At 49.9% G+C, this 14,301-nt stretch overlaps 1 protein-coding gene across 13 annotated transcripts in view, besides 3 other annotated features; it reads left to right on the top strand.

Annotated features, from left to right (window-relative positions):
• The first annotated feature begins 1,664 nt into the window (after positions 1 to 1,664).
• The window catches only part of ZBTB7C (zinc finger and BTB domain containing 7C), a 385,914-nt gene continuing 373,277 nt past the window's right edge, over positions 1,665 to 14,301 (top strand). For 8 of the 13 annotated variants that reach the window (XM_047437347.1, XM_047437346.1, NM_001371285.1 and 5 more), the window contains exon 1: positions 4,867 to 5,024. The gene's annotated coding sequence lies outside the window, so the exon portion shown is untranslated. Of the gene's footprint in view, positions 3,572 to 4,866; positions 5,025 to 5,490; positions 5,893 to 14,301 lie in introns of those variants that run through there. The other 5 variants (XM_017025609.3, XM_011525865.4, XM_017025606.3 and 2 more) reach the window with 3 other exon arrangements.
• Positions 3,699 to 4,078: a silencer, noted in NCBI's record as "silent region_9432". NCBI's record gives its function as "represses an Ori minimal core promoter by ATAC-STARR-seq in GM12878 lymphoblastoid cells {active_cell/tissue: GM12878}" and the evidence as "EXISTENCE:reporter gene assay evidence [ECO:0000049][PMID:35858748]".
• Positions 5,349 to 5,966: an enhancer, noted in NCBI's record as "H3K4me1 hESC enhancer chr18:45934655-45935272 (GRCh37/hg19 assembly coordinates)". NCBI's record gives its function as "activates a minimal SCP1, AML or CMV promoter by ChIP-STARR-seq in naive H9 embryonic stem cells {active_cell/tissue: H9 hESC(naive)}" and the evidence as "EXISTENCE:reporter gene assay evidence [ECO:0000049][PMID:30033119]".
• Positions 5,967 to 6,586: an enhancer, noted in NCBI's record as "H3K4me1 hESC enhancer chr18:45934035-45934654 (GRCh37/hg19 assembly coordinates)". NCBI's record gives its function as "activates a minimal SCP1, AML or CMV promoter by ChIP-STARR-seq in naive H9 embryonic stem cells {active_cell/tissue: H9 hESC(naive)}" and the evidence as "EXISTENCE:reporter gene assay evidence [ECO:0000049][PMID:30033119]".

Genomic DNA, 14,301 nt, shown 5'->3' with positions numbered 1-14,301 from the left:
CCTGTGAGGCAAGAAGGTCTCCTGAAAGCTGGGGAGCCAGGTTAGAAGCAGGGGTGTACCATCAAGTAATCCTGTATGGAGAGTTCAACCCCTGGTTGCTCTTCTCTGGAATATGAGGGAAGTCATATCTCATGCACAGCTTCAAGTTGTCCAGTGTTACATTCTAATTCCCTTGAGCTACTCCAAACCCTTTGTGAAATCTGTTATCTAGTAGAGCCTTTGTAGGCCCTGGTGTGGCAAAGAAAAAAGAGGTGTATAGAAGAGGCATGGCCTATCTCCACTAGCTTCTTCATGGGGGCTCTTGGGGATGCAGCATTTTCTTGAGGGAGATGGTAACTGGAGTCTGGGGTGAGGAGCAAAATGGTGAGGTGGGTTATGGCTGAGCTAGGGACAGCAGGATCATGCTGGACACTGAGGAAGAACTTCAGGAGGAACAGAAAGTAGAACTTCCATATTCTTGGTATTTTCTAGGGGAAGCTGGCCCCTGGAAGGGAATGGTGGTTGTATGGTTGGATTACACATGTACTTTTTTTTTTTTTTTAATGATTAATGTTGGTTATAGCTGGTGAGTGATTACAAGTGAGTTTTGATTTTTCTATATTTTCTTTGGCCCTTTTAAAGAAAATATTACTTTGACACTTGTAAAAATGGTAGGGAAGTGGTAGACTTTATTCAAGACTATTGCAATAGGAGTGTTGCAATGGCGGGGAGAGACTGGGCTCAACAAGGGGAAGTGGGGATTTATAGCCAAGGTACAGAGTAAGGGGGTCGATAGATGGAAAATTACTAAGAGGAGACATTAAGGGTAGGTGCATTCTTGCTGGACTAACCTAACAGGATTCTTGCTAAAGGCAGGCCAGGGTGCTCGGAGATCAAGGGTCAGGGGGGTTTTCACTAAACTAACTTAGAAGGATTCTTTCTACAACTGGACTTGGCTGGCTGAAGAGAGGGCCCAAGGGTGGGAGCCCAGTGGAAATGAAGCCTCAAAGGAGCCTGCCTCAAGTGTGGTCAAGGAGAAAGTCTTTGTCATCCCATATGGGCTATAAATGTATGGCCACTAAAATGAGAAAGAAAAATTAGTAAAATAAAAAATACTCTCCCAAGAGATATGATAACTAAACGCAATATGCAATCCTGAATTGAATCCTGCCTAGAATTTACTTATTTTTTCATTTTTGCTATTGGTGAGACAGTTGGTGAAATCTAAATATAGTTCAGACTAGATAATAGTGTTGTATCTATGGTTAGATCTGGATTTTGATTATTATATAAGAACGTCCTCATTGTTAAAAAACATTCACTGAAGAATTTATCAGTAAAGGAACATCATATCTTCAGCCTATGCTCAAACAGTTTAGAAAAAAAGAATATGTATATACAAAGAAACAGCAGGGTAAAGCAAACATGGGCAAATGTTGGCACATGGAGATTCTGGGTGAAGATATATGACAATTCTTTATATTATCTTTGTAACTTTTCTGTAAATCTGAAATTATTTCAAAATAAAAATTAAAAAACGAACTAAGAAAAAATAAAAAATATCATGCAAACTTAGGGACTGAGTCCAGTGCTACCTTTTCCAGGAAGGCACTTCACCCAGTCTGCCTTATGGTAGGTAATACACACCATGATTTCCTTGAATTTCTCTTCTGCTCTGATTTATTCAAAGCCTCTTCCCTCTTTCTCCTCTAGAGGCAGCATCGCAGGGGAGGATGCTCGTGAACTTCTGAACTCACGAACCTGGATCCAAATGCTGCCCCTGACACTACCCAGCGGTGGCAACATGGCCATTACCACCACTATTGATATCAGATTTTTCATCTATAAAACGGTTACAACAAAATATATTGCATACAGTTGTCATGAGAAACATATAGCAATGGAAACCGTAAGTTCTAATCTAGAAAGAGCTCTGTAAATGTTAATTCCCCTCTTTTTTCTTGAATCAGTCTTTCAACATCCTCGGGAAATAGGTAAAAATTTGATCCCAATTCTCAGATAATTTATTTAGAGTTTATCACCATAACTAATATTGACAATTTACAATGTGCTCTACAGTGCTTAATACACAGTAACCCCTTAATGAATGTTGTTCATGGGGCAACACTTGCCCTCGCCTTTTCTCACCCGACCATTCCAGCATCTCTATGGAGTAGAAAGGGACCTACTATTATCTCCCTTTTTACAGATTTGGAAATGGAGGCTTTAGAGAGTTGAATGACATGCTTTTTTTCTAGGATACATGGCTGATAACTGTTAAAGTTTGGCAGTAAATTCTATTAATTATTGCAAAGCAACGTTTACCATTGCACTTACATCCAAACTAGTACGTTGCAAATAAATCTTACAGCACTCACTGGATCTCCATGCTTACGCTATTCCATGAGCTAAAGCTATAGAACATCTACTTTGAGCCAGAGAAGAGAGGAGAAACTTTCTGATTTAGAGCCACATTTATATTAGAGTCTATTTACTATTTACTAGACTCTTTACTATTAGAGTCTAATTTACTGCCCACATCCCTCTTTTCTCAACCTAAATGCCCTTTTTATGGCTGTAGCTGCCCTCACCCCCAGAACTACATTTCTATTTCCTGCAGGTGTCTGGGCATTTGCAGGGCTGGGATCCTCTAGGTGCTCTCTAAATGCATCCGCATGCTTGGCATGAGGCGCAGCCAGACTTATGGCTTAGAAGCGGGGCCATATCAGCTGGGTCAGCAGCATTCCAAGTAACTGAAAACCCTTTAATGAAGGGAAGCAAGACAGGCAACTTAATTTAACAGAGAGACAAACCTAATATGAGAGGGCAGTGGCTGCCACAGCTGCTGAAAGCGAGATATATTATTTTGCCATTCTGGAAGCTTTAGCAACTTGGAAATCTGACATCCTGAGCCTGAACATACCTTAGGTTCCACGATAGACTATCCTAGATTTACATGTGCATTTGAATAGTTTGGATAAGATGGCTGTCCAAACTGTTCATTTGGTGAAATTTACTTAGTAGGAAAAACCAGATCTCTTTGGCAAATTAAACGTGACATAATTGTACCCAAACCCTACGTTTCAGATCCCTCTATTCATATCTAGTTTTCCACTCTTACATCCTATTCCAGAGCCCGTTTTCCCTTGTTTTCACTACTCCCAACGTACTATCTTGCAATGTGCGTTTATTACACGAATGAATGAAATGGTTTAAAAAAAAATCCCAATAAGTGATATTAGGAAGAGGCACCAAAGGTTCACAAACTTATTTTTGTGAATTCTGTAAAAAATGTCATCCAGTGTCTTCAGCATTAAAGGACACAGCAGCAGCCCCACTGCCCTTTTATTAATCCGTAGCCAGAATGGGCACTAGGCGGCCGGGATTCGCCATCTCGCCTCTCCTGGGCGCCAGGTGCGCCTCAGATAAGCGCAGCCGGGTAGGAGTTTGAGGACGACAAACTTTCCCGCTTCTGAGGGAGGAGCCCCGGAGAGGACCCGCTGACGTGCGAGGGTGCTGCCTCCGATGTACTACCAAGGAGGGCGAGGGTTCCTATGTCTGTCTGGAGCGCAGAGGGGTGGACTGCAAAAAGGTAGGAGGCAAAGCCAGCTCGAGTTTCCCCGGCCCGTAGCTGGAGGGAACATCTGCCCAAGTGTCGCCTCGCCCGAGAACGCTCACGCCCTCTCCAGGGCCAGGACCCTTCCTCCTCCCCTCGCACTGGCCCTTCGTGGCTTCCAGCACCGCTGAGCACTCGGCGTCCCAGCGAGATTCTCCTGCCCCGACAGACTCCGAGGGGGCGGGGCCCGGCGGGACGGGGCGGGGACAAGCCCTCCCCGGGCCCGCCCGTTGGCATTGTTGCGCGGTGATTGGACGCTTCGGAAGGCCGCCTTCCAGGCCGACCCGGGGAGTGACGGGCGGCCAGCGGCTGCTCCCCGGCGTGTGGGGTGCGGAGTGCGGGGCCCAAGGCTCCAGAGGGGTGGGGACTCCGGGCCGCAGCGCCGCCGAGCGCGATTGCCCGCTGAGATTCGGCGCCCCGGGGTGCGGCAAGCTTGCGGTTTCAGGTGCTGGCTAGGCGTCTTGGTGCGCTCGCTGGAGTGCCGAGAGCATTTGGGAAACTTAACTTCTCGCCCCCACTCCTTGCTCCCGACTTTCGGGTAGAAAAGCAGTTGCCGAGTTGTTTTATTTCCTCCCCCATCGGACTCTGTAAAAATAGCCGTGCGCCGGGGCGGCAGAGCCCATCTCTGCCGCACCGCTGCCCCGGGTCGGCAGAGCCCATCTCTGCCGCACCGCTGCCCCGGGTCGGGTGTGGACCTAAAAATACCCGGCGGTCCCAAGCCTGCGCTGGGGGTGCGGGCGGGTCCGGCCGGGCCGCAGAGGGCGTCAGGAGACCGGAGAAACGGCGGCCGCCTGGCCCCCTCGCCTCTGCCGGGGCTGTCCCTTTAAATCCTGGAGGAGGCAGAGAGAAAAAAGGAAAGAAAGAGAAAAGACGCGGAGCCCCGAGCGGTTGGTGGCGGTGCCCGGCCCCCCCACTCCGCCTCCGCGTCGGGTCCTGACTCCCGCCCGCAGCCTCCGCCAGTCCCGGGCGCCCCCCGCCGCGCCGCCCACTCGCCACAGTTACTGTCAAAATAGAAATTAGCGGAGCCGGGCGGGGGCTGCGGCGCAGCAAGTGCATGTGCCGCGCGGCGGGGAGGGGGCGGGCGCGAGCGACAGGCGACCGCACACATCCGGGCCCTTTAGCCCTGTGCGCCCCCCGAGCCGGCGGCGCGGGCGCGGGGCGCGGGGCGCGGGGCTGACAGCCGCGGCGCGGGAGGCGGGGCGCGGGGAGGGCGGAGGCGCGGCGCGGGGAGGGAGGAGCTGCCCGCTCGCCCGCTGCCGCCGCTCAGCTCCATACCCGCCGGCGCAGCCCCGCCACGAGACTCTGACAGCGGCGCGGCCGGCGAGGCTCGGGCGCGCAGGGACCGGCGGACACCGGCGGCGAAGGAGGACGCCAGGACTGCGTCCCGGAGCCAAGTGCGGGAGGCGCGCAGGGCCGGCGGCGCGCGGAGGTGAGCGGCTTCGCGCGCCGGGCTCGGGCGCCGGCTGCCGGGGTCGCGATCTCCACAGCACCTCGGCAGCCGAGGCAGTTCGGGAGGTCGCGGGGCGGCGGGCGGGTGGCTTTGCTTGGGCTGCGCCGGAAAGCGATTGCGGGGGCCGTTGCTAGGAGGCCGGCGGTCCGCGCGCCTTGGGGCGCCGGCTGGAGCAGGGGCGCCCTCCGCGCGGTGGGCAGGAGGCGGGGGGCTGCGGTGGCTATTCAGGGGCTCCGTGCGGCAGCCATGCAACGGAGGAGGCGGGAGGAGGGAGGGAGGGAAGGAGGGAGGGGAGAGCCAGCGGAGAGCGAGCCAGCGAGCGGGCGCCGCGCCTCCTGGCTGGCACCGCGGCCCGGAGCGAAGTGGCGCGCGGGGCTGGAAAGGAACTTCTGCGGGCGCGTGCGGCCCGGGGCTCGGCGGCGCCTGCGGGCCCGAGCGGGGCGGGCCCGTCGGCAGCCACAGGTGGTTTCTGCCAAAAGTTTTACCGCACTTCTGCCTGGAAGGCGCGGGAGCGTTTTGGTGAGTGACGTTTTCCTGGGACTTTTGCAGTCTCACTTCGCGCTGTCTTTTCTTGAAAATTGGAAAATGAGCTGGAAAGGCTGGGATCCAGCACCTCTCGATGAGATCTGAGCAGAGTACAGTCCTTGCCCGAGGTGTCGCTCATGCAGGACTCAAAGATCCTTGCTGCTGTCAAGTCGGGAAGCTGGGGGAAATGGGCGCACGCACACAGTTCCTCCAAGCCTCGGACAAGTGAAGCCGAGCCTGGCCCGGTGCCTGTCGCCGCGCGGGGTAGTGCGAGGTCTGTTCCCAGCGACACGCACGGGAACTGCGTGCGTCTTCTCTCAAGGTGTGTACGTCTCTTGCTCCGTTGAAAGCGAATTGTCTCTGGCCGCTGTGCTGCTTTGTTTTTCCGGTTGCTTGTCTGGTTTTACTAGGATGAAGGCCAGGAGGAGCCAAAGAAAAGCGAAGCGGCAGCTCCCGTTATCTTTGCAATCTGCAAAGCTGTGGAGGCTGGTACCCAACCTTCCGCGGCGCGGGCGCAAGGCCGAGGGGAGCTGGGGGTGGGTGGCGTGCGCTGCCTGTATGGGAAGTCTCGCTGGACCATGCGCAAGGCTAGAGCCGGAGTTTCTGGTGCTTCTAGGACAGAAAGAGGAGTGGGAGTGGGAAGGGAAGACCCCTTAAAAGAAGATATACTGTGCCCAGACCTGGGAGAGAGGCTCCGAGAAGTCCGGTGGCTTGGCCCTGTTCTTCATTGGCGGGGTTGAGGAATCCAGGGCAGCGAGGTAGAAACACCTCGGTAGGTCGTCCTGGGCTGAAAGAAATCATTATTCCCAGAGCGGGCCAGATACCCGGGTGTTGAAACTAGGTACAAAACTGCGTGAGAGGTGGAAACTCTCAGTCCTTCATTCTCCTTGGTCCGGTGGCTCCCGCTCCCTGCCCCCACAAGTACATGAGCAAAAAGCATGCCCTTTGCTTTATAGAAGGTCATAGGATTTTGAAGTTGAAAGAGACCCTAGAGATATTAGGAGCACTCATTTTACAGATGAGCAAACTCAGGCCCAAGGAAGGAAAGTGACCTGCTACAGTGGCTAGAGGCCCAGTGAGACTAGAAATGACATCAGCCTTCCAGGCAAGGGTGGAGAGACTTCCCTGGGCAAGGCCTGGTAGGGCTTGAGATCAGAAATGCCACCCCCACACCCCAAGCCCATCATGGCCTCTTTATCTGGTACTTTCTAAATCCATGCTTGCCAGCGAATGTGGTATATTTCCCGTCCCGTGCCCTTGGCTTAAAAAAACCAGGACTGTCACTGCAAAGTCCAGTCTGACACTATCCCAACTTTTCCTGCTCCCTCATTATCCCAAATTCCTCAAACTCCTTTTGTAACACAATGCAGCTTGATTAGCCAAGAAGAATTTGCAGCTTTTTTTCACTGAAGCACCCACTTTCCATAGGATGCCAGAACTCTGTTTTCCTGGTAATTAGATTTTACAGATATTTTTGAAAGGGAGCCCAATTTTGGATCAATTACACTTGGACACAAATGCTGTGCTGTTGTGGATACCAAATGAGAAAGATGAGCAATTATCTGGGGGTGTTGGAATAAATGTTGTTATGAGTATTTGACACAGCCATTAAACATCAATGAGTGGGTTTTCAGTAAATGTTTTTTACTCTGTATTTTATTGAGCAAACAAAGTGTCTAAATTAAAAAAGAACTACGAGTTGGCCACTTTGATTTTAGCCACTTATTTTGTACCAGTGTGTATGAGCAGGAAGGAATTGAATGATAACCAGAGTGATTGTTATGTGAACTTTTTCCTCCAAAACCATAATACTCTAGGGCGATGCTAGATTTCAGTCTATAATGTCATATACAGTCCAGCAGAATTTTATGAAAATAAGCTGGATGCAATGTGTGTCAATCTGTATTAGTCAGAAATGACTTGCAAGAGAGAATATTTTGTAAGTTTGATTGCTTTCAAGGACACAGAGTATCAAGAATTCAAGGCTAGTGCAGAGTTGCCGGGTATAATTCTTCTGCTTTCATGAACAGATAGAAATCAGTGCCCCCTTACTCCACATCTCCTGTGTTTAGGGGTCCTACAGAAGAAGTCAATGTCTGATATTCTGATAATAATACAGTGTTACGATGCCTTTCACTTTTTTTGCATGCTAATCTCATCAGCATTCCCACAAGATAGATAGTTCAGCTATTTGTTCATATTACAGAGGGAGAAACTGAGGCAGAGAGACGGGGAGAGTATTATTCCTATAACTTTTCCCACTGAATTAACATTCTCAGCACGCAACTTGGGCTTCCTGGGCTGACCAGGGTATAAGAGACCCCCTAGTAATATTACCGGCCTCTCACCCCTCTCCAGCAGGGGCGGTGTGAAGGGGGTATGAAGGAGTGGTGGGGTTGTAGTTACAGTTCACTGGAGGCTGTCACCAGGGCATTTTTGTTCCCTGCCCCCACCGAGGGTGGGCAGTTGTCCTCCCTCTCATAGCAGGCTGTGGGAACTTGGGCGCGGAAGGACCAGCTGGCTGAGGCTGGGGCGGGGGTGTGGGATCTGTGCCTGTGTAGGGCTGAAGGAGTCCAGGCTATTTATAACCCATCCTCCCCTCCTGGGAAGAAGAGACTCAAGGGTCTGGAACCATCTATAGCAGTGACTTCTCCCCAGGATGACTGTGTCCCACTGGAAGAAAACCTATCAATGAACCACACAGAGGGTACTGGAGTGAACCCCAGCCTGTGTGCGGCATCCTACAGGGAGGGTACCGGAGTGAACCCCGGCCTGTGTGCAGCATCCTACAGGGAGGGTACAGGAGTGAACCCCGGCCTGTGTGCAGCATCCTGCAGGGAGGGTACCGGAGTGAACCCCAGCCTGTGTGCAGCATCCTGCAGGGAGGGTACAGGAGTGAACCCCGGCCTGTGTGCAGCATCCTGCAGGGAGGGTACCGGAGTGAACCCCGGCCTGTGTGCAGCATCCTGCAGGGAGGGTACCGGAGTGAACCCCAGCCTGTGTGCAGCATCCTGCAGGGCTTCTTGGAGTGCCAGCTGCCCTAGGGGAATTTAGGACACAAGGATTTTCCACACTTTTATCTTATCCAAAAGGCTGAGAAACGATGGGTTACAAGGATTTTCTAGAGCCACCGTGTGTACTTTTTGTCAGATACTACTCTCCCATTTGCACAAAGTGAGGTACACCCCAGAAATCTCACAGGACAGAACTCAAGAACTCATTAACGTGAGGGTAGTTGGCTTTTCTAAATAATGACAACAATGATTCTTATGCAGGAGATTTTGAAAGTGGCAAATTAGATGTGGTTCCCTCTGACTCCAAGCTGAGTCATTTCTGTGTGGGGCTGGTCGAGGAGGTTTGAAGGCATGCATTCAAAGCTCTTTGCCTCCTCCCCTGACTCTGCCCCAAATAGGTCCCCGATGGCCCCTAACCCACCCACTCCTCAAACCAACACCAAAGTCCTCCCTCCTTTGTCTGGAGTAAATAGTACCTGCCATGCCATCAGTTACAACTTCATCCCTGAGGCCGAACAGATTTTTTCCCTGGGTTGGTGGAGGGAGGAATGGGGGTGGGGTGGGGTGGAGGAAGCTGGCAAGGCACTGAGCTTGTCTTTCTGTTTAACCCTTTGGTGTGAATTGATCCGCCCATCAGAACTGTCTCAGGGGCTCACAGCAGGTTTTACCAGGGGGAGACTTCAGTAGGAGGCTGTGGATGGAGAGGTCAGGGCTGGACAGCTGTGGCTGTGGGTGGCACCTGGCCAGCTTTTCACAGCCCTCACATGCTGGAGCTTTTGAGGGCAGGGCTGGCATGTTGCTCATCTTCACGTCCTCAGCATCAGCAAGGGCTGGACATGAAAAACATTTGCTGAATGAATGCTGCGGGCTGGGCATGGGTGGATGGGAGGACAGCAGTTGGATATGCATCTTATTTGCCGTACTCCATGGCACTGTGAAGGGGATGTTGGGAAGGCAAAGTCATAGAAGTAGATAAAAAGAGATGGGGTTCCCACAGGCATTGTGAGAACCCTGGGGCCAAGTTGATTGGCCCCTCCATACCGCTAACCCCAGTGGATGTTGGGAGCATCATTCATCAGTACAACAGGTAATGATGAAGTCGTCCTCTATAGGCTGTTATGGCACAATCCAGTGTCACAGAGCAGGCAGAGTGAGTTTTCTTTAGTAAGGCAGACCAGGCCACTCCCTTGTGTAACCAACCGTGGGCATGCGGGATCTGGTCCCTGTCTGCGTCTCTGACCTCCCCTTCACTCCCTGTGCCCACCCTTCCACCTCCTTTTTGTTTCTTAAACACATTGAGCTCATGTGTTTCTGGCTTGCCTGTTCTCTTTGTCTGGAAAGTTCTTCCTTCAGATCTTCCCATAACTGGCTTCTCACTGACACATCACCTGGACTATATTCTTTTTTTTTTGAGATGGAGTCTCTCACTCTTGTCACCCAGGCTGATGTGCAGCGGCACGATCTCGGCTCACTGCAACTACCGCCTCCTGGGTTCAAGCAATTCTCCTGCCTCAGCTTCCTGAATAGCTGGGATTATAGGCGGCCCCGCCATGGCTGGTTAATTTTTGTATTTTTAGTAGAGACGGGGTTTTACCATGTTGGCCAGGCTGGTCTCGAATTCCTGACCTCAGGCGATCCGCCTGCCTCACCCTCCCAAAATGGTGGGATTATAGGCGTCAGCTACCATGCCTCGCCAATCTTTTTTTTTCTTTTCTTTTTTAGAGGCTTCACATTATTTTTTGTTTGGCAATGCTTCCCGTATAATTTAACATACCAAATAGGCCTGTTTATTATCTCTCTTTTGGATGCTTCAGGGGCCCTTTTTATTTTAATTTTTTTATTTCATAGGTTTTTGGGGAACAGGTGGTATTTGGTTACATGAGTAAGTTCTTTAGTGGTGCTTACTGAGATTTTGGTGCACCCATCACCTGAGCAGCGTACACTGTACCCAATGTGCAGTCTTTTATTGGATATAATCTTGATTCTCCTTTTGTTTATTGTCTGTCTTTCCCCACTAGAGTGTAAGCTCCCTGAGAACAGGCACCTTGTCTGTTTTGCAATCTATTGTCTCCTCCTGGGCTATACCTGGGCATATTCATTTACCGACTATGTACTCAGACACTGCTGTGTGCTAGGCACTGTTCTGCTGTGAATAAGCCAGTTAGTGCTGTTGGGGTATGTGAAGTTGAGTCAGCCCAAGGCCCTGCCTTCTTGATCTCTTCAGCCTAGAGGCAGAAATGAAGCTTGTTCATACATACTCTCATGTAGGCAGGGAGGGAAGGTGACATTCAAGAGGTATAGCCCAGGAGGGCCATTGTTGAGAGATGTTAGCCCTGATTTGACAAGGGTGGTTGGCTTAGGTAGATGGAGTCTTCTTTCAGATGTTCTGTTGGGAGTCTGGGAGCTCTGGCAGCTGACTCACCTCCAGGACTGGAGTTCCTCTAGCTTGACTGGCTACCACCTCTGTCTCTGTTTATTTACTTCTTTGGTGGGCAAGAGCTCCAAGCATACTGCCATCCTTGGAGAGTCAGGAATGTTGTGTTTTTCCACCCGCTTCATTCATTGGCAGCCTCCTCAGAACAGCTGTGGACAGCTGTCTGCCAGCATGGATGCAGGGAGGGTTTCTCTTTGGGGCCAGGGGCACACTCAGCCCTGCAGGAGCAGGGAATTCATTGGTGGTTCACACCCTACTGATTTCCAAACCCCACTGAACTGGTGCCTGTAAAAACAGATTCATAAGGAAATTAAAAAACTATTAGCATTCAGTTTACTGCTTATTTTCTGATTATTAAAGCAATAAGACTCATAATAGAAAATTGGGAAAATATGGAAAAGAATAAAATCAAAAACATCCTACAACACCCACATTTTGGTATATTTCCTTCCAGTCTTTTTTTTCTGGAACCAGCAACATGCGCACATATACACATAAACACACACATAAAATATAATTGGGAAAAACATTGTTTTCCAAAACTGTTAAAATCCATGCCATCTTTTACTAAACAGAAAGGTTCCTTTCTCTTGAGAGCCTGATACTCATGTTGCCACTGTGAATCACTGACACTTAGAAGAAAATGTCAAGTCTCTTCACCAAAGATTTTAGCAGGCTTTGCTTCTGTACTTTGCGTAAGGAAAACAGTTGTCCTTCCCCCCTTCCAACACATTGTGAATGTGCTTAGAAACATGCCTCTCATGCTCACCTGTCTCCATCAGTGTGTGTATATGATGTTGCAAGTTATCCCCTTACTGAGCATTTGATCACATTACTAAGTCATCGTGTTCCTTAGAAACACACTTGTAATGGATGTGTAGTATTCCTTAAAGTAATATACCATACCTTATTTAACCATGACAAGGAAAGAATCAGTCCCCATTAAGTAACCTTTTTTTTTTTTTTTACCTAAAAATAAGAGAGCAGGAGGAACTCAAGAAATATGAACCCACATCACTGGATTCATGTGTTTAGGGCATCACTGTTTGGGGGACGTCTTCACTCCTGCAGGAGCCCAGGACTTTGTTTCCTGCATTGCTCTGTTCCCAGGGCTTAGAGGAGTGTCCGGCACACAGTAGGACTCAGAAACTATTTTGCCCAGTGAATAAAATATAGAATTCTTCCTATGGGAGATGAGACCCTTGTTAAGTTCATGGAGGTCAAGGCTTCTTTTGAAGTGTGTGTTCTGGGGCCTTGGTGGCTTGAAGGGTGAGAGCATCATTGCATCCTGGGAAGAAGGGCATGAATTGGCAGGATGGGACGGTTGACTGTGAAATGATTCTCTGACTTAAGAATTTTGATGGGTTTTTGGAGGAGGTGAGGCCTAGGTGAAATCTTGATTTAGGGGGCTAGGAGCACTTAACTCCCTGGAGACAGAAACAGGAGGGACCCAGGCGGGAGGGTGGCATGGGTGGAGCCTCACAGAGTCAAGACTGGGACCGGGGGTGCTGCCTAAGCCAGGGAATGGCAAGAGATGGGGACTCTTCAAACTGTAACCTCCTCAGGGCCCAGAACCTAGTCCCAGGGGAGGAAGTGTCCTTGGGGATTCTGAGGCCCCTCCCTGCCTCCAGGCAGATACCATCCCCATACTGCAGATGGGGAAACTGAGGCTCTAGAAGTTAAGGAATGATGAGGAGCATAGGTTTTGGGGTTGATGAGACCTGAGTCCTGTAACTTGGTGGCTTTCCTGCATCACTTTGGGCACATCACATAAGCTCTCTGAGTATCAGTTTCCTCACCTATGCAGTGGTGATAATACCAATTTGATAGGGTGGCTGAGAAAATGAGATAAGATAATACATACAGGCACTTAAAATAGCTCTCGACAAAGAGTGAGGGGAGCCATACAGGGGAGCCACTGTTATTTATGTTTTGTAAATTTCTATTCCTAACATGAAGGGAGAGATGAGAAAAGACAGGATCGATGCCAAAAAATGAAAAACAGTTAAGGCTTTGTTGTCTTGCTTCTCCTCCCCAAGCGACTACCCTATCTCAGGGAATAAAATCCCAGCCTACAGGAATTCAGACTCTTGGGTGTCATGAGCTCACATGCAGGTAGAATTAGCACCACTTGAGGGGTGCTAGGATCCCTCCCTCCTTCCCTACCTTGAACGGAAGGAGAGATGCACTTGTTAAAATCATGCAGTGGCTTCAGGAGCTGAATCCAGATGTCACTGCTGGGGGCACACTCCTTACTCAATTAGCACCTGGGCATGGTTTGGTCTTTGTAGTGGATAATGTCTGGCCACACAAAGATGGGGCACGGGCCAGGTCAGTTCTGCTGACTGGGAGCTGACTGGATAAGTAGCATATGACCTGGAGCAGTGCAGCCTAATAGAAATATAGCAAGAGTCATCCATGTAACTTTAAGTTTCCTAGCAGCCACCTTTTTAAAAAGTAAAAAGAAGTAGGTAAAATTAACTTCAATCATATATTTTATTTAACCCAGTATATCCAAGATATTATCATTTCAATATGTAACACTGGTCATACTTCAAGTGCTCAGTAGCCCCACAGGACTAGTGGCTGCCTACCAGACAATGCAGTGAACCCAGGACACAGGTTGCGGGGGCCACCCTAGGGGAGGCTGTGGCTACAGGGGGACTCTGCATTGGAAGGGGAAGCAGCAGGGCCTCTAGGTGGGGACACATCAAAAGCAAGCAAACTAGGGAAGCAGCAGAGGGGCCTGAGACAGGACTTTTGTCCTGGCCCACTGATAGGCATATAGTTTATTCCCCAGGGAACCATTCCTCTTTTATGGGCCTGTTTCCCCATTTGTAGCATGAGGCTATCTTTAAGAGCCATTTCAGCTCTGGTGTTCTTTAACTCCTGAAAGAAAGACACAGAAAGCAAATTTAGTCCCTTCCCAAGTTCGAGGAGGGTGGCGGTAGAGCTTGGAGAGAAAGTGTGGGGAACAGAGAGGACCACTGGCCCTGTGTTTGAAAGGATGTCCTTACAAAGTTCTGTCTGGACCATTTATACAGTAGGTCTCTGAGAACTGACAGTGTTCAGCCATCACCATGAGTTTTTAAAACAGTGCGTTTTGGAGATGGGGCAGGGGCATTAATTGTTACTTTTGAAAGGTGACATGTTTTGATTGTTTCAATTCTGAAGCTTCCTCTGGTTGGTGGGTCATCCCAGATGGCTTTGAATGGCAGCCATAAAAGAGGGGAGGGGCCGCACAGGAAATATTAGAACAAAAAAGGACATTTTTCAGCTCTGT

The sequence above is a fragment of the Homo sapiens genome, chromosome 18 (assembly GCF_000001405.40).
Source record: "Homo sapiens chromosome 18, GRCh38.p14 Primary Assembly".
Taxonomy (NCBI): Eukaryota; Metazoa; Chordata; class Mammalia; order Primates; family Hominidae; genus Homo; species Homo sapiens.
Note: the sequence above shows the minus strand (reverse complement) of the source record. Positions and strands in the feature narration are given on the sequence as shown.